At 41.9% G+C, this 20,530-nt stretch overlaps 1 protein-coding gene across 1 annotated transcript in view; it reads right to left on the bottom strand.

The window, feature by feature from the left end:
• CACNA2D3 (calcium voltage-gated channel auxiliary subunit alpha2delta 3) overlaps window positions 1-20,530 on the bottom strand; it is a 952,006-nt gene that overhangs the window by 801,988 nt on the left and 129,488 nt on the right. The window lies entirely within an intron of this gene.

Genomic DNA, 20,530 nt, shown 5'->3' with positions numbered 1-20,530 from the left:
CCTGGGAGGGGAACAGAAGAACCCCACAATAGGTTTAATGAACCTGAAAACAGGGATCACTTGCACCTTCTGTTCTCCAAGCAGTGTAGGAAGCCAGTAAGGTCCCATGGTCCTCCCACAACCAGCACATTTGATGCTAAAGACATGCATGTGGAACAGGTGGCCTAAGGAGCCATAGATGGCCCCACAGCTTCCCCAAGCCCAGAAGGTCCAGGAAGAATGGAAAGCTTCTCTCACTGGCTGCAAGCAGCTGGGGTGAAGCACACAGAGCTGGCAAAACTGCTCTAGCCTTGAGGTAGGTGAGGCAAAATGTACAAGAAAACAAAGAAGTGACTCAAAATCAATCAACAACGGTGGCAGTGACTGGTAATGCCCACCTAACACGTGTCACTCCCGACACACCAGCTTCCTTGTGGATGGGGGGTGGCGGGGCCATGTCCAGCTGTAGCCCATGGATATGGGAAGGTATGTGTCCCATCCAGACCCAGCACTTAAGAGACACTCAAGAAACTTCCAGTCCTCTCTTCCCTGTCTGGGTGTCTAGAAGCTTTATACTGAAACAAGATGAAAACAGCTCGCTCCCTGATCACTATCTAGATAAACGACTCCCTGAAGAATTGCCCAAGCCACTGGGGACTTTGCCTAAGCAACAAAGTAACTTTTATATTTTCCACAGAGCTTTTGGAGTGAATTTGTTACTTAGCATGGCCCAGTTTCTCCGAGACAAAATCAAAGGTGATTGGGAGCAAGGATGTCTCCATAAACACCATCACTGACAGGTGACAGCAGGGCACCAGAGGCCCTCCACCACCATGCCTTGGCTCTATGTAGGTCCTTGGAACTGCATACAACTCCAGGGAGAGCCAGAGAGAGCACCACAAATCCATGGATTTCACTTCAGTAACTTGGTAGAACAAGGGCTCAAATGAGAAATTAAGTTCAATTAGAAGAAAAAAAAGTGACTTTTTCTGCACACCTCAATTTGTGGCTTGAAAACTGAACCCACTCCCCAGATGTCTGTATGACAAGTAAAGAAAAGGCCAACTGGCTCTTCTATAGATGTCTTTTTGGCCAAAGAAGATGATAATTTATCATTTCAGAGAATCATAGCATTTAGGATGAAATGGGACCTTCAAGTGTTGGGATGACACACAGGTTTCATCTCCTGTGCCAACTCCAGTGGGTTGGTGGTGACTTCCTGGAGGGCCATGTCAAAAGGATTCTAGGACTGCATCCAGGCTCAGCAGGGAACAGAGGATGGTTGATTAGCAAGGTCTGTGAGCGGAAGGCAGAGTGAGAGCACGTGAATAAGAGAAAAAATAATAAAGAAAAGAAAAGAAAAACAGTATGACCCCAAGAGCCCAGCTGTCTCATTTTATAGGTGGTGAAATCAAGGCCCAGGAAACGTGCCCACTGCTCTCTAGACACATGGTCCCAAAATCAGGGCTTGAACCCTCATCTCTCAATTCCAGTTCACTGTCATTCTGTTACCACCAGCTGTCACTTAGAAATAATTCCTTCTAAAAATGCAAATGAGATGCAGCCCTCCTGCCTCCTTCCAACATCTCTTGGAAACTTACTGTTCCTGATTTTATATAAAAATAATACATAAAACAAATCTCTTAAAAGCAGAGAGCTTCCTCCAACGGGTGACAAAAAGGGAAATCAGAGAAAGCTGAAGCTTGAGAGGGACTCAGTGCACTGTTTTGAAGATGGATGCAGGCTGTGTCAAAAGGAATGAGGGCAGCCTGAAGGAGCTGCAAGATGCCCTGGACTGAAAGCCAACAAAGAAATAGAAACCTCAGTCCTATAGCTGCAAGGAACTGAGATCAGCCAACAACTTGAACGAACATGGAAGAGTATTCTTCCCAGAGCCTCCAGATAAGAGCTAACCTAGGTGACACCTTGATTTCAGCCTTGTGCTAATGATGATCATAGAACTCAGCAGAGCCCACCCAGGCTTCCAACCTATGGAACTGTAAGATAATAAATGGGAGTCGTTTTAAGCCACTTGATTTCTCCTAAATTGTTATGCAGGAGTAGAAATACCATCAGCAGCTGAAATGGGTCTCCTACGGATGGTTGACAAAGCCATGGTTCAAGAATGAAGACCGTCAACATCTTGTTGAATGGTGGCAATGGTGGAAGCCAACTCGTGGGGTATATTCAAGAGCAGTGTCAAGCAAATGCGTAAAGCAGGTCGATTAATTCCTGCAACACTCGCTATACAGTATTTCTGTTCTATATTTATATAAGGCAAGGCTTGTGAGATTAAAACAATAGCCAAAGCTAAATCATCTCCAAAATGAAATTATGAAACAGTGTTGTCTGTTAAAATAGAGAAAAGAAACTCTTTCTCTTTTATATTTACAAATTCAGCACCTAGATAAGTTTGCTAAAGGCTGCTTTAACAATTTAACAATTGAGGAGAATGCTGAACACGAGAAGAATTTAAAAAACGCTTTCACGCCTAAGCATCACAAGATCTGAATGAGATGGTGTTCATGTATGGCTTTTTCCATGCTCAAACCCAGACTAGCTGCTTCAGCTTCTGGTACAACAAGCCAAGGAATGCTTTTATTTTTCTGTTGCCCAGGGCCAAAATCTGCTAAATATTATTATGATTACTACTAAATAATGACAACACAACAGAGACCATGTATTAAGGTCTTTTCTCAAGTGTCAGACACTTTCCTCTAAGTATTTTCTGTATTTTTAAGTGTCTTTGATCAATCAAATTCATGAAACAAACAAACAACAAAAAACAAGTGATTTCTATCCCTAACACTGTTCCATGAAGCTGCTTTTAAAAACTCATCCACCTCCTTTTTGCCAAGATAACTCCCATTCATCTCTGGACACCTGGTCCAGACAGCACCTCCTTCCCCACATCTTCCCTGGCCACTGTCTGCATCCCCAGCCTAGGTGCCCAGGATCCTCCACTCCTTGCAGGATTTTCTTTACATGCTTTACACAGTGATGGTGGTTGGTACTCTTGCCATCACAGCACACCAATCATGTGTGGGCACATCTCCCTCACCTTCAGAATGTGCAGTCCCAAAGGTGGGGTCCACAATGTTTAGCTTTGCATCCCCAGCTCCTAGTATGCAGTACACAGTAAGTGCTCTTTTCTTTATCTTATTCTTCATTAAAACACAGGAAGACAGGAATGCAACAAAGGGATGGGAGAAAGAGGAAACTCACACCAGAACAAAAGAAATTAGGAAAAGGCTGCAAGAGATAGAGAAATGCTAAATCATAAAAGAGGGGCCCACACACTAGATCCAGCAATATTTCCTCCCCTCGGACATCCACAGAATTCCAAGATGGGATGGCAGCCCTGAAATAGAAAAGGCGCTACCAGTGGAATTCAAATCCAGGTGGGGCCTCTTTCACCTGTACCTGTACCGATCACTCACATCCAGGCCCCAAACTGTGGTTTGGCTGCTCCAATCACTGCTGTTTTCCTTGCTGAGCAGAGCAGGGGCTCAATGGATCCCAAAAGCAAAGAACCAAACCAAGCCACAGGAACTCTTCTCTCCACATCAGGTCCTCCTGGCCCAAAAATAACAAGGAGAGAAACCAAAACCCATTCCATGGGCTTCTCCATCCACTGCTTTCCCTTCTGAAGCCACATACTTCCAGAAGATTCTCATGCCACTAAGTTTCAGAACCAAACTTAGTCTGCCTTCAAGGTGACTGTTCCCAAGTGCTCTGCTTCCTATTTCCTATGACATAATCATTAGAAGACAAGGGGAGGGCTGAGTTCAAGTCCCGGCTCTGCCACTTACTAGCTGGGTGACCCTGAACAAGTCCTTTTCCTTCTGCAGGCCTCAGTTTTCTCATCTCTAAAATAGTGACAGCTGGGCACGGTGGCTTACACCTGTAATCCCAACACTTTGGGAGGCCAAGCGGGTAGAACACCTGAGGTCAGGAGTTCAAGACCACCCTGGCCAATATGATGAAACCCCATCTCTACTAAAAATATAGAAATTAGCCAGGCGTGGTGGTGGGCACCTATAATCCCAGCTAGACAGGAGGCTGAGGCAGGAGAATCGCTTGAACCCAGGAGGCAGAGGTTGCAGTGAGCCAACATTGCGCCACTGCACTCCAGCCTGGGCGACAAGAGTGAAACTCCATCTCAATAAATAAAAAATAAAATGGTGACAAATAATTGCCCCTAATTCACAGAGCCTTAGTGAGGCACAATGAGATTGGGTCCACACCTCAGTGCAGTGGCCAGCGGGTGGTAACAGCACAGCAATGGCAGCCACTGGACATGGTATCAGCAGAGCTCGAACGACCCCTGAATGGCCATCACATGAAGGCTGTATGACCCAGAACAGACAAGCAGTTCTTTCACGTGAGCAGTAGCTTCTTTCCCATTAAAAATTTGTCATATGAGCTGCTTCTTTAAACCTCTTTTTCAAATTTCCATGCCACAGCTCAGAATATTAATATTCCCAATTGCCAAAACCAGCACACTGTTCTGATTCTGAATATGAACCACATACCAACCATAGGTTTCAGACCATTAACTTCTTTGCTTTCCCTTCTTTATTTTTTCATCAATTCTAACTCAGAGCAACCAAAGGGATTCATATTTTAAACATTACAAAAAAACACCCCCAAAACATCACATGCTTCCAGGCTGAAATGTTTTAGTGCCATTAGCTTAAGCCCCAAAATCATTATATGGATGAATTGCAAATCCCTGAAAAATCATAAGGGTTTAGGATGGAAAAAATAACTCAGCAGTGGGCTCTGGAAAAATCACTTAGAATATCCTGTCCCACAGCCACCAAAACATCACAGGTACCTCATCTTCTATATTTCACTTAGGAAACATCTTCTAAGTTTTCAGTCATATATAGCACAAGAAAAGCTTAAAACAGCCAGGGATTGGGTGTTCTTTTACCTTAACATCAGCCTGCAGTATGAAAAGCATCAAATGAATTTAGACTTACATCCAACTCTGAGGTTCTGAAAAACAGTGACTAACTTCTGTCTGGTTCAGAAAGGATACTTTTCACTCTTAAAAAGATGAAGTACTGGGTATCTACTACACAGTAACCATGTTTCTGAAACTTGATGACCACCCATCTCAGTGACTGGAAGAGAGAATCTAGCCTGCACCTCCAATGGAAAACTTATTAACTCTCTAAACCCATGTATTTAAATTGTAACGAGTAGCCCAGAACAGGAGGTTCTGGTTTGTCATAGCCTCCTTTGCAACTTCAGCAAGTCACTTTCACTAAAGAGCATTTATAAAGGGTTACTTAAGGAGGCTGAGTATGTTTTCCATACCTCAAATATCACACTGCAAGACACAATCTGTCAATTGTAAAAGGTAGAAACACACTGAGTACAAATGAGTACACAAAACTATTGTTTCTCAAACTTCTATTATTTGAGTCCCACTGTCACACTTGGAAATGTCTAAACATCAACTTTAATATTTGCTTTTTAATAAAACTCGTATTTTTTTCTCACTGCCTCATCCTTAAGCCCCAGTGACTAAAATAACATCCTGGTTATACTAGTTACAGCCTCCCCCCATTTCACATTAAAATGTATACAAACTGCCAAGCTCCATGCTCAAGGCACACCAAGGTAAAGTCAACAAAAGACAGAGAAGTGTTGCAAAAAAAAAGCCACTGTCCCCTCCATGCTCTCCCTAAGAGGGCCTGCTTTGCCTGCTCCTGTAAACCACTGATATGTGCCCAAGCTGCTGCCACATGAGTGCCAAGGGCCACCTGAGTGATGGTGGAGTAAGCCAGTCTCTAGTAACCAAGAGCTGGCAGAGACCTAGCAGATGCTGACACCCAAATTGGAATCTAAAGTAAGAAAGGGCATACATCACCTGCTGAGGTCACTCCCTCTGGCCTTGAATTCTGTCCTTCTGCATGGACTAGGCTGCTACTGAAATCATTCATTCATCTAGTCACCCGCTCACTCATCAGCAAATATGAATACATGACAGACTTTGGTGTGAACATGGAGACCCTAATGCAAACCAGGTCAGGGCTTGCGTTCCTAAGATACCCATGCAACAAGAGGGCCCTGTGTTCTCCACAACCATAACCCAACACCTTTCTCTTTCCACAGGGCAGAGTACACTTCAGGCAACATGAAACTCCAAAACCTAAAACACATGAATTCAGAAAATCAGAGTTCTTAAATGATTCCTTGATGCCGCATCATATTTCTCTTAACCTTATTTTCCATTTCAGTTGTCTGAGATAATAACTAGAAAAATATTTGTAAATTTATTATGGACAGCAGGTAGCACATTACCCAACTCCAATTCTAAGAAGCATTACTAAGATCTCATGTTCCAACATCCCTCATGTTAGTTTCATGCACAGTGGAGATGGCTAAAGGACTTCTCACTTCTACAAAGCTCAGGCCAAACCAGGCATTTTCTGGGTTTGGCAACAACCAAAAACTTCCAAGTCACTGATTTAAGTCCCTAGACCTAAGAACTTTTTCCACTGCTTTTAAATGTGATTATATAAAGAAAAAATTGGCCCATATTTTTCTAATCCTTGTGTCCTTCATCCATCAAATGCTTCCTCTGAAAGCTATTTGATACCTAAGAAGGCTTTTGAGCACTTTATAAGTCTTAAAATTTTCCTTCCTCTTTGAACTAGGAAACTGCCTGTTTTGCTTACAGCACACTAAACTTGAACCTCAAAAGGCTTTAAGTCTGTCTGAAATTTAAAATCCTTCAAGTAGTGGGTTCTAACTGGAGAGAAAAAGATATACTTTGTTTCCTTTTTTTTTTTGCCTTCATATGCATACCAAAATGTAAAAGCATTATTTAAAAGAACAATGCATCTGTGTGTGTGCGTATATAAACACACTATATATACCCACACTATATATATATACACACACTATATATATACACTATATATATACACACTATATATATACACACTATATATATATACACACTATATATATACACACTATATATATATACACACACTATATATATACACACTATACACACACACACACACACACACACACATACTTTAAGTTCTGGGATACATGTGCAGAATGTGCAGGTTTGTTACATAGGTATACACATGCCAAGGTGGTTTGCTGCACCCATCAACCCGTCATCTACATTAGGTATTTCCCTAGTGCTCTCCCTCCCCTATCCCCCAACCCCAACAGGCCCAGGTATGTGATGTTCCCCTCCCTGTGTCCATGTGTTCTCATTGTTCAACTCCCACTTATGAGTGAGAACATGTGGTGTTTGGTTTTCTGTTCCTGTGTTAGAATAGTAATCATTAAAAAGTCAGGAAACAACAGATGCTGGAGAGGATGTGGAGAAACAGGAAGGCTTTAACACTGTTGGTGGGAGTGTAAATTAGTTCAACCATTGTGGAAGACAGTGTGGTGATTCCTCAAGGATCTAGAACCAGAAATACCATTTGACCCAGCAATCCCATTGCTGGGTATATACCCAAAGGATTATAAATCATTCTACTATAAAGACACATGCACAAGTATGTTTATTGCAGCACTGTTCACAATAGCAAAGATTTGGAACCAATCCAAATGTCCATCAATGATAGACTGGATAAAGAAAATGTGGCACATATACACCATGGAATACTATGCAGCCATAAAAAAGAATGAGTTCATGTTGTTTGCAGGGACATGGATGAAGCTGGAAACCATCATTCTCAGCAAAGTATCACAAGAACAGAAAACCAAATGCATCTCTTAAAATGCGGTTTTTGTGGCAATGAAAGAAAACTTGGTAGTGTTTGGATCAACTGACTAAAAAGTAAAAGGCTGTCATGTAATTTACCTAAGTGTTTCCAAAATAAATAATACATAAATAAGAACCACATACCTTTCACAGCAGCTAATATAAAGCCACCAGCTGCACTGAGCCTATTACAAACCTAAATACTGGATAAAAAGTCTGGCCAACATCCTCTATGTCTCCGTTTCTATTTTACTGTTAATAGCCAAGAAAAAACTTAAAGAAAAAGAAACGAGTGAGACATTAAACCTCTTCCAGTGCTAAGCTGGAAGATTATTCTAGGTCCAAATAAGAAGAAAAGATGAGCATGCTCCCTTGATCTGAGCCTTCAGGAAAACGAATGCAGCTTAGAGTTCAAAGCTGAGAGACTTACACTTCCTTCTGTCCTTAACCAGTCTCCTGATTTTCAAAGAAAAAAATCACAGACACTGTGGTTAACTTTCATCATTACACAAGACACATTCAATATAAGAGAACCTTTCCATGACTTCGTTTTTCAACACAAGAGCAGAAAAATCAGCCCACAGAAGTGATACAAGGACAGGAAGTAAGAGCAGTTTCCCAAAATGCTGGGCTGCAATCTTTGTAATCAGCCGAGGACACCACCCACCACATCTGGGTGGGCACCAGAGCCGATTATGTTAATTATGATTGGGCTGGATGAATAGCAAATTTGCCATATTGTGGCTGGGCAGCAAGTGGGGATAAAACACTGGCATTCAAGACATGCTGCTGGGTCTCTTCCTTCTGCCTGTATGGATGTAACATAGAAGGCAACATTGTCACTACAAGATGGCATATTTTCCTCCAACCATGCTAATGGATCCCTATTAATAATGAAGTTTAACAAATGTCATCTAAAGTGCAAGAAAAAAATGAAAGAAAACACAGGCCAAAGACCATATAAAGCCAGAGGGGATGAGATTCCAGCCCTGCCAGGTACAGACATCATGCGTACCTTATGTAGATGGTATTCAGCATTATCATCTCTCACTGTGAGTTTCATTAGGCAAGGCTGTGTGTTCCATCTTATTGCTGTGTTGCCGGGGTCTAGCGCAGAATCCACCACACCAAAGGTGCACAACATGTGTTTGCTGTATCAATAAACTGAGAAACCCACAAACCAGCCCAGTTGGCCCCTCAGTGAATCACACATCTGTCACACACTGCTTCATAGATTGAATTTAACAACTAAAATCCCAGAAATCATAGGAGTTAAGAGAACCAACAGATCTTGGGCTCTGGCAATGCACCACCTCACTTCAAATCTTGGCATCACTTCCTCACTGTGTGACCCTGGGCAAGTTACTTTATCTTTTCATGCCTCAGATTCCCTCTTCTGTAAAATCATAGTAAAAATAGCCTTTACTCCACTGAGATGCTCTCATAATTAAATGATACAATCCATGTGAGAGACTTAGAACACTGTCTGGCAAACATTAAGCACTTAATACATGTATACTATTTCTGACTATTAATTTTTACTATTCCAAGTCTCTACACAGTAGCCACCATACAAGCTTCCAAATAGGACTATGAATAAGCACAACTTTCAGTAATTAAAAGTTAACCAACTACCTTAATAGGTATCAACAAAAACTAATAAAAAAGGTATTATGCAACAAAATAAGCAAGTTGCACAATAATAGATGCATAGCATGTGCTTCATTTGTATTAGAACAGTGGTAGAAGCTGTCTATGAGTATATACACACACACCACACACATGTGGAAGTATAACAAAATTTCTCTGCAAAGTCATAGTATAAATCCATCATAGTGACTACCTGGGGTGGAGGGGAATCAACAAGAGCCGAATCCTGATCTGTAATGTTCTAATTATAAGCAAGCAGATTCCTGATTTACTTAAATAATTAGTAAAAATTTAAAGCAAACTTGTAAAAGGTATACCAAACATAAAAACAAAAAGGAAATGAAAAAAGAAACATCGTCTCCACTCCCAGCACTGGGAGGTGGCTCGCCATGCGGTTGCTGGAAGGAGGAAACCATAATTACTTGAGTAATGGCTTCTTCTTGGCTAGACCACAGGTTCCGCTTGGCCAGGAACCATCTGCCTTTTCACTACCCCTGTGTCCCCCAGCTCCAATCATAGTGCTAATCACACGACGGATGCTCAGCAAATGTCTGCAGATTGAATGAATGGATTTTTTTTTTAATTCAAAATTCTTTAAGCAATTTGGTAAGGTCTTTCATTTTTCTGTATCTCTTTTGAAAGCCTGAACATATTTAATTACATAACTTTGAAACAATGGGTAAAAACTCCCAAAGTCTGAGTTTTAACCAGCATGTTTAAATTATAGATATTTGTGATGCAGAGGAATAAATGCCTGCCTTCGACCTTTAGCTTCCCTCTTGTGGGTCCATCGTGGGAGGAAATGTTTTCTTTCATCTTTCCACTTTCCCCACTTCGGGGAACTCTCTGTGCCTCAATGTTGTTTCTTTTATGATGCCTCTTCCATCTCACATCACGACCTTGGAGACACAATAAATAGCTTTCCTTGCCCTGTCCTACCACAGCCTGAGTTTGTGATATGATATGCAGACATGGTCTACCAAGCCCTGCCGCCAAAGCAAACACATCAGCAAAATCTACCCATCCTTGCTATAGATTTATGTCAGTCCAGCAATTATACAGCCTGTCGTGGGTTCTGGGAACGTGCTAAAGTGAAATATGGAAGAATTCCTTAGAGAGCAGCAGCAAAAAATCAAAACTCCTGCTCCCTCCCCCAAAACCCCTATCCCCAACTGCATTCACAGCCCCCAGGAGACACATGTGGGGCTGCAAAGAGCCTCCTGCCTTGACTGGCTTATTAGGATGGGACATAGTCAGGCACCATGGGGGGGTCTGTGCAATTCCAGTGGGGGAAGTATGGGGACCACGCATTCCATGTTTTCCAGGACTGACCTGATTTCAAACACTCTAGCATATTGTCCTTCAAAGTATAACTGTGTATTTTGGGTCACAATCCTAACTTTCCCCTCTACACACCAAGGATAGTGAGAGGTAGAATGTGACTTTGTATCCCTGAACACACAAGACCAGAGACCTTTCTGAATTTAAGCTGCCAATGCTAAGGGTGTGAAAGACTTTATGTCTCCTTCTATCCCTGCAAAGGCACATGTGAATGAGGAATTTTAGTGTTCTTCCACCCATGGGGAAGCATATATTTGTTCAGATAGGGAGATTCTGTGGCTGCAAAATCCCATGTCCAGACCAGGCAGAATAAGGGGTTTAGGCCTCAGGATTATCCCCAACACCTTGAGCAACCACTGCATGCCAAGCACTCTGCCAGGCTGGGAGCATTCAGCAATTAATAAAAGCAGTCCTAGGACCAAGACTAAGGGTCTGGTAGAGGAAGAAGATAGTAAACACATAATGACAAATTTAGTTCCTCCCCATGGTAACAAGCGCCAAGAAGGAATCTGGGTGCCAAAAAATAAAACTGGACACCAGATGTGGAGAGAAGACGGGCTTGAGTATTCTCGGTTCCTAAAGGTTTTGTAAGGATTAAATAAGAATCAAAGCATCCATGTGAATATTCCATTCCACTTGCCCTGTATAATAGAGAAGCTGAAGAGAGATGCTAAAATAAATTGTTTAACTTACTTAAATGGTGCCATGGCTCAGAGGAATGAGTAGGCTATCTAGACATTTATTCTTAATAGAAATAAAACTGAGCATCTACTATGCGCCAGGACATAGGTGTCAAAGATATAGCAGGGAATAAAACAGACTATTCCCTCATTCTCATGATGTTTACATTCTAGTGAAGAGAAAGAGGGAACAAACAGGAAATGAATTCAGAGTTCAGACAAGCTGAACTGGAGGAAATGAGACGGAGTCACATGATACAGAGTTACTGGGCAAAAGACTTTAGATTGCCTGGTTATGGCAAGCTCCTCTAATGGAGATGATATCTGAGCTGAAACTAGAGTGATGAGCCAGGTGTGCAAAGAAGTGGGGAAAGAGCACTCAAGGCAGAGGGATTGTGAGAGTCAAACTCCTGAGCTGAAAGGGCTTGGCATGTTTAAGGAAAAAAAAAAGAATACCAGCATGGCCACAGCCTTGTTGAGCACTACGGAGAATAGTAGGAGACGTGAGGGGAAGGAGACTGTTATGATTTAAATGTGTCCCCCGAAGCTCATGTGTTGGAAATGTAATTTACAAGTTCATATGTTGCTGGTATTTGGAGGTAAAACCTTTGAGAAGTAATTAGGATTAGATAAGGTCATCAAGACGGGACCTTCATTATATGACTGGTGGCTTTATAAGAAAAGGAAGAGAGACCTGAACTGACACGCTCCCTCTGTCTTGCCGCATGCTGCCTTCTGCCATGTTATGACACAGCAAGAAGGCCCTTGCCAGATGCAGCCCTTTGACCCTGGACTTCCCAGCCTCCAAAACTATAAAAAATATATTTATTTTCTTTATAAATTGCCCGGTCTCATGTATTCTGTTTATAGCAACAGAAAATAGATTAAGACAGAGACACATCCTTGGGGCCTTGAAAACCAAGCTAAGAATTTGAGGCAGTCAATTCTAGGGGTCTAGTTCCCAGAGAAAAAAGAGATCAGTAGAAGAGGCTCCAAAGTGTGACATCTCTGCACAATACAACAAATACAGTTTCTGTTTAGAAAGTAGAAAAATTTGTCACATCTTGTTCCATTTGACAAATGGTTCAAGTGGCTAATAGCTGACTCCACGTCTATAAACATCAAACACTGTTTGGTTTAATTCTTAGAAGTTAGGGCTAAAGATTCTGAATTCCCAAGGAGAAGGAGGAGGAAACATATTTATTCAAGTTTCCCCTGCCCATACATTAAGGAATCTTAGCAGAGCAGCTGGTCCATAAACACGCCTGAAAATTCCTGAGCATTGCAAAAGCCAACAGCTAGAATGCAGGGCTTTGCTTCAGCAGCTGCAAATTTTGTCACTCTTCTCAGAAATCCCTATTTTGCAGCCACATAAATGCATTGGCAGGCTTCTGTTTCAACTAAATGGACGTTTAATTTTGTATGTTTCCTTCACAGAAAGTATTTATGATATATATTTACAATGCTGTCATCATAAAAGTTACTTAAGGGGATCTTCCAGTCATGATAAGTGTGCTTCCAGAGATGATGGTATGAGCCTCATGAGTCCTAGGAACAAGCGGCTTGGTTTTGGCTCAGCTGTATCCTTCTGGAAGAGTTCTTTTCAATCCCACCACACGGTAAAAGCATTTCTATCCGGCTCTCCATCCAGCAGAAATGAAATCTCACCAGTGTGGCTTAATTAAGTGGAAGCACATCTCAAGTTTTCTTTTTTTGAGGGTTTTTTTTTCTATTAAATCTGTATACTTGTTTAGACAAGCAAACCTAAAGAATTAAGAACTCACAATTGTGGATCAGAGCTGCACCTGCTGTGTTTGTTTTTCTCTTGATCAAAACTCTCAGCTCTGCTTGACTTCCTTTCATCAGCAGCCATCCCAGAAGCCAGTTAGGTCCGTGTCACCATGCCAGGCTCTCATCCTATCAGCTTAGCCAACCTGGTGGAAATAACATCTTTCCCACTAGCTCCTGGAGGGAAGTCAGGGAAGGCTCTGACTGGCCTAGCCTGAGTCACAAGCCCATTTTTTAGCCAACTCTATCTCCAGGGTAAGGTGAGACATTGGTGGGCCAAGCCTGGGCCCCTGCCCACATTGTGGCTGAAGCTTATGGGACCCCAGCATCAAATGGAAGGAGAAAAAGTTTCCCCCAAAGAAACCAGAAAATGGGAGATAGGAAATTATGGTGATCAGGTTAATACTTTAGCTACCTCAGTCCAGTATGGCAGAGACATGAGTTAACAAGGTTATGTGCTGTATCTAATCACATGCAACTGAGTAATACGGAATCTTCCTCCCTAGCCAGCACTGTCTGGGGCTTTAAACTTCTCTGAGTTTTGCTATCATAGGTTATTTATTATTAATCACTTCTGATCCCTTCAGGTGTTATGAAAGTGTTCAATCAATACTTTCAAACACTTACATGACCAAGCAGAAACAGAATCACTTACCTTTAAAACTATCCCCAACATTCTCAGCTATGTATTTTATGTTGGATCTTTTTCCTGCACTGAATGCTGATAGCATCAAATCTCTTCCTTCCAAAGTGTAAAGGAAAGCTCTGCTGCTAGAACATCTCAAAGACAAACTAAGTTTAATGGTAAAGGTGGCTTCAGGCTCATGAGCTGGGTTGAAGTCAAATCTACCTTCCTTACTCTTACTTGAACTTCATTCTCCAACATCAGACAAGGTTGCCATCCTCTGCCATCCACCATCCCTAACACTATCTGACACTGCCTTACAGATTTGGGTATACAGTTATTGTTTGTCTTCTCAAGCTTTTCATGAGAAGGTAAGCTTCAGGGGTTCAGACTCTCATTTACTTGGGTCACCCCCAGGACCTAAACAGTGCTTACACACAGCAGGCACTCAATAAATACTGGTTGGATATGGAATTTACTGTCCACAGAATCCTTTTTTCCATAATCAATTCTCACAGGGCCCAACTTGGAAATGCCATAATAAATAAATATTAAAACAAAAAGTATTACCATTCCTAGAAGTACTGGTGTACTAGAAATCCCCAACTCCACTAGGATAGCCATCTAACCAGGGTTTCAGAAAGCCCCTGAGGCCGTGAAGGTTACTATGCTTTGATGCTCCTCTGTTTCTACAGCCCTTTTATCTTCCAGCACCAGCTATGAACTTGAATTTACTTATAAAAATACCTCAAAACACTTCTCTCAAGTTCTATCGGGATCTTGATTTTATCCAATGTAATGGTCAATTTGTCGATGAGGACTGAATAACCAGGGACTATTGGACTATCCCCATTTTCTAATTTCTTCGATTGTCCTTCTTGACTTCCTACCTGGATTTCCCTCATTATTTCTCCATCAACAAGCTTCTGAAGGCAACTGAATGCAGAAAATGCTCAGCAAGACCATTACACCTTCTGAATTAGCCTATTGCAACCATGGAAGAACAGGGGGCCCACTGCCCTTTGCCCATTTATTTTTTTATACTCATTGAAACACTCTTAAGGTTTTCTTGCTTTAATGTTGGCCAGCAAACTCCCTCTTTCACAAATAAGCTTTTCAGATGAAAAAAAATTACTCTGTCTGCAATCAACCTTTCTAGAAGAAAACCATCCTCTCTGACATGACAAGACCTACAAAAAAACAACAACGGCAGGAACAGCAGCTGTGCAACATTGCTGACACCTAAAAGCGTAGGGAAAAAAAAATAGCTGGTGGGGGAAAAAAATAAGTCTATAAACATTTCAGAGAGGGAAAGCTCCCCTAGCTCTCACGCTACATGCAGCAACCAATTACTCTCTCAAAAGAAGAATGCAGGTCTTACATGAAGTGGAACAATTAATTTCACGCTTGTCATCCTGGCCTCAATAGTAAGTTGATTTGAATCAGATATTTGCCGTACATTACAGCTTGCAGGGGACAGTTCTGGTGCCTTCTGAGCTGACGGACTGCTCTGATGGCTACCATCGTAAAACAATCCATCAATAAGAGTAATTATGATATTGATCAAAGCAGTTGGCTGCTTCAGATTGGAATCAATTCTCAGAAGTTGCTGGGAACAGAAATGTCTAATGGACTATTCCATCACTAGTCACTGCAGCAAGTGAAACAGCTAATATTCTGGAAAGTTCTTAATAATTACTCATTGAATCTGCATTTCTGCTTCAGTGGTCATAAGTAGACCCTGCTAACTGTACCCTGAAAATCAGTCCAAGTGGATGAAGGAAGGGCCAAACGCAGATTTATAAAGTGCCAGCACTGACCCAAAAAGTGCGACAAATAATGTGGAAAACTACCCTCCATACTTCTATTGTATCCTGTTAATCAGAGAGGCTCCTTATTTTTTTCTACAGACCTTCTGGATAAGAAAGTGCACTGGAAAGAAGACAGCTCATTTTGTAGAGGCTGCTCTTACAGTGGTTTTTTTTTTTTTTTTTTTGAGACGGAGTCTCACTCCTTACAGTGGTCTTGACAAGAGAAGAACATGCTTTATTTCGATGTTGATGGTGTCAGTAACAGAGAGCACAATGCCATTAATGTGAACTTCTCAGGTGTGTGTCATTCATCATATTCTAGTGCATACAGAAAAATGTGGACCCTCTGGGAAGCAGCATAAACTTGGGGAGACCTACAATAGTACATAACCCTAATAAAACTGCTTTCTTTTTACCTCACTCAAATGCCTATTGATTTATAATCAGGGTCTGCCATATCCAGGACAGCCCCTATACGGCATGAGAAGATCACAAAAGCTGCCCATATTCCTCATCACATGGCCCCCTAGCCCATTTATGCCTGAAGGTTGCAATTTTTTGGATTTTGAAAATCAGATCTTGGCGATGACCTTGAGCAGTAGGATAGAAATAATTCCCATATGCTTAGCATTCCAATAATGGAATGCTAGGCATATTAATCAGCAGTCAGAGAAAGGGGAGGCATTCAATCCTGAGGACTTCCTCTTCCAGGTACAACAAGACTTCACATAGCACTTTTGACCACACCACACACCTTCCTAGTGACAAGATTTCAGGTCCCCCAGAAAAAGTGTCACCAATTTCAGGTTCAAGGACCTTCCCTTTCCAAGATCCTGTGTATACAACCTTTTCTCAGGCTATAGCCCAGTGGTTCATTTCTCACAAAGCCTATTTTTTGTCCCTAAATTTAACAATGACTTCCTATTTCCAACTATGCTTTTGCATTTTTTTTTTCATTATGTGTCTCATTGCCCACCCCAACTCTGACACTTACTGGATCTGTGACCTTGGATAAGTTACTTAACCTCGCTTAACCTCATGTATCCATTTCTATACAGGGGGGTAAAATGATTAATTCTGGAAGTAATGTGTTTAGAAAAGACTTTACTGGAAGACATTTGAGATGATTTGAGAGATTCCCAGAGTACGTGGCAGTAGAGGTAAAGAAGAGGCTCTTAGGTAGAGTAAACAACATAAGCAAAGGCCTGCAGCGGGGAATATGGGGAGAACAATAAAGTAGGGTGGGAAGCAGACAGGGAAGGTTCTGGAATACAAAGGCCCAAAGATTGTACTTTTGTTACCGGCAATGGGAGTCTCATGCTGGACTTGCAAGCAAAGGACTGAGCTGATGAGAACAGTTTCAGGAAAGATAGCCCAGGAATTGTGAAAGATGGACCAGTCAGGAGGTGAATGCAATCACTCAGAGGAGAGATGATGATCATACACCAAATTCTTTCAAAATAAATCTTCTGTAATTGGGACCTTACTTCAAGTAGAAGTAGATTAATACTTGTGTGGACATTTGCCAGTGCAAGTCTTTATGCCGCATTTCATTCTGTTCTTTGCAAGCCGCAAGAGTGGTCCCACGTTGCTAGGAATTTACAGGATCATTACTGTCCCCCTCTGATGTATCAAAGCTCTATAAGATGCCTGAGTGAATTCCAAGTTCAGTTTGGAAAGTTTCAAGATAACAACAATATATTTATTTGAAGGCTTAGACGGTTTTAACGCCAGAATGACTCTTAACTCTCCTTAGCTCTATAAACATTACTATAAAATCAAACATGATTCCATTTTTAAAAGAGGGAAATCAGGTTTCAACAGTTTTTAACCTGAGAGAAAAATGTGTGCAATAGAAACCAAACAGCCATTCCACAGGGGAAATGTTACAGATGTTGTCTCTCCCCTCAGCAACCAAATATTAATTTCACTGATGGAGAGATTCAGGAGGTAGACAATAATCAACTGAGGTTACTCCAGTGCTTTTATCTGCATTTGGCAGCACCTTTGAGCTGGGGCTGGAGGACAGGAAGATGTCCTATTAATGCTCTTCACAATAGATTCCATTGATAAAGCCTCCACATTGCAGGTAAGGACAGCGCTCATCCCAGAAATTGCACCAACTCCCTTAGAGTATACAAGCTGCTGTGCACAGCATTTTCCCATATCTTCCTTGTTGATTCCTGTGAATTTCTGACAAGGAAGATTTTTACTTTGATTCAAATAGGTTGGTAACAACAGTAATACTCATAACAACTAACTCTCATATAGCACTTATGGCATGCTATGTGCTAGTCTTAGCATTTAGCATTTAATCCTCTGAAGAACCCTATGCATTAGGCATTATTATCATCTCCATCTTCATACTTGGAAACTGAAGCTCAGAAAGGTTAGGTAATTTGACCAAGTCCTTATCTTCACCCATCAATACAGGCAGGCACACAAACATAACCACAAAGAAGCTACTGGAAGATTGCATTTGGTGGATACCTCACTGCACTCCTCCAGAGTTAATATAATGTATTGTTTTAAAAAGAAACAATTTATCAGAAGCTAATTGACTGAGTTCTCACTGGTCCCTAGGCCAGCCCCCTTGAAAGGGAAATGGACAAGTAGGGAGGAAGCACTGGATTGTAAGATAATGAACCACTCTATCTTCAGTACCCTATCTGGAAATGGAAGATGATCCTCCAGAGATCAAACTCACCACTGGCAAACCCAAAGCTGCCATCTGATGGGAGAGCATCCCTCCCCAAAGCAGTGCTTCTCAAGTGGTCTCTATGAGCATCAACATTCTCTAGGGAAATGGAAAAAATACATATTTTTGAGCCCATCCAACACCTAAACCAGCCGCTCACTGTAAGAAACACAGGAAATCGGCCGGGCGCAGTTGCTCACACCTATAATCCCAGCACTTTGGGAGGCTGAGGCGGCTGGATCACGAGGTCAGGAGTTTAAAACCAGCCTGGCCAACATGGTGAAACCCCATCTCTACTAAAATACAAAAATTAGCCAGGCGTGGTGGCAGGCACCTATAATCCCAGCTACTCGGGAGGCTGAGGCAGGAGAATTGCTTGAACGTGGGTGGCAGAGGTTGCAGCGAGCCGAGATGGTGCCACTGCACTCCAGCCTGGGCAATAGACTCTGTCTCAAAAAACAAAAAAAAACAGGGAATCACATAGTCCTTGGATTAGAGGGTACATTATCCCAATTTCACTATCCTTTAAGTCCTCCAAAAGGCACATATGGGTACACAAGCTCACAAATACTTCCTCCAAATCAAAACACATATGACAGGAATAGACACTGATATGGCTTGGATCTGTGTCCCACCCAAATCTCACGTCCAATTGTCATCCCCAGTGTTGGAGGTGGGCCCTGGTGGAAGGTGACCGGATCACTCATGAATGGTTTAGTACCATCCCTTTGGTGGTGTTCTCGCAATAGTGAGTTCTTGTGAGCTCTGGTCATTTGAAAGTGTGTGGCACCTCCCCCTTCACTCTCTCTCTGGCTCCTGCTCCAGCCATGTGACCTGCCTGCTACCCTTTTGCCTTCTGCCATGACTGTAAATTTCCTGAGGCCTCCCCAGAAGCCAAGCAGAATCCGCTGTGCTTCCTGTAAAACCTACAGAAGCACAAGCCGATTAAACCTCTTTTCTTCATAAATTACCCAGTCTCAGGTATTTCTTTATAGCAAGGTGAGAACACACTAATAGAGACCCACCCATACTCTCTTGCTCTCAGAAAGAATTAACACCACAAGACTCATTAATTAAAAATACAGTGTCATTATAGTATTTTAAAACAAAGATGATCTGAGCAAAAAAAAAAAAAAAGAGTTGGTTAAACTCAGGGCAGTTTTGAATCTTTAATATTAAAGGACCAATTTCAGAGCCACATGTAAACAAAATGGGCACCGAATGATTCAGGAAGAATATTAAATCAAATACTGACTTTAAAAGACCAGCAAAGTCTCTGAAAGTGTGGGCAGGTTGCTAAAGCCAGGAAATGATTTCAGATGAAGACCAAGATTGATGAAAGCAAAGATGGACTATGTGTTTCCCGGGGGGCTTAATCCTGCTGCACTTCTCTTTCTGCTACCTCTCTACTTCCCGGCCTCAACACCCCTCTCATGGTGCCCTTGGTCAACTGCAGGTTCTAGGATGGTAGGAGCACAGGAAGCATGCTGCAGGCTTTCACCAGATGCCCAACAAACAAGCTGGGGGGACACAGGGAGATGGCAGGGGAACTATATCATACGGCTGGTCCCTGGGGAGAACAGAGCAGAGAGCACAGAAAGGCAGTTCCATGTGCCAGGGCAGGCAGCCTGCAGAGACCAAAGACAGGAGAGAGACAACCAAAGTCCTCACACAGAGTGTGCACAATTCTAATTTTAAGAGACTGCAGCTGAGTCCTAGTGACATAATCACTGGCCAGTTGAAGTCTTTACAGAAGTCCCTAAAACACTTCTAAAACAAAGGAAAGAATGAGTAAAAATAAAACCTATTGGACATCAGCTAAGACACCAGCCTATTTTCCTTGGCCACAGAAATGAGACACAACTGATCCCATGCTCCTATCATATTTCTGTAATGAGTTGGGCTGCTGTTTTCTACAAGTAAGTCCTTGTATATCCATAGTATGACTAATTATAAATAATTTCTGGTATAAAATCCATTACAAAAAGCCCAACCTAAATCTAGGACTAGACTTCTGACAATCTAATCACTAGCCCATCCTGCAAGAAAACAAAGATTTTTCCTTCAAGGATCTACCTGTGTTTTAGCAAACCAGTACAAAGGGAATGGGAGAGACGGAGAGTATCGTACAAAAAAAAAAAAAACTAGCTCTGCAAAAAGAGAAATTGGAACCACTGGGATCCAGATACTTTACACAGTGTATCT

Source organism: Homo sapiens, chromosome 3 (genome assembly GCF_000001405.40).
Source record: "Homo sapiens chromosome 3, GRCh38.p14 Primary Assembly".
Classification (NCBI taxonomy): domain Eukaryota; kingdom Metazoa; phylum Chordata; class Mammalia; order Primates; family Hominidae; genus Homo; species Homo sapiens.
This window is presented reverse-complemented; position numbering and strand designations above follow the sequence as displayed.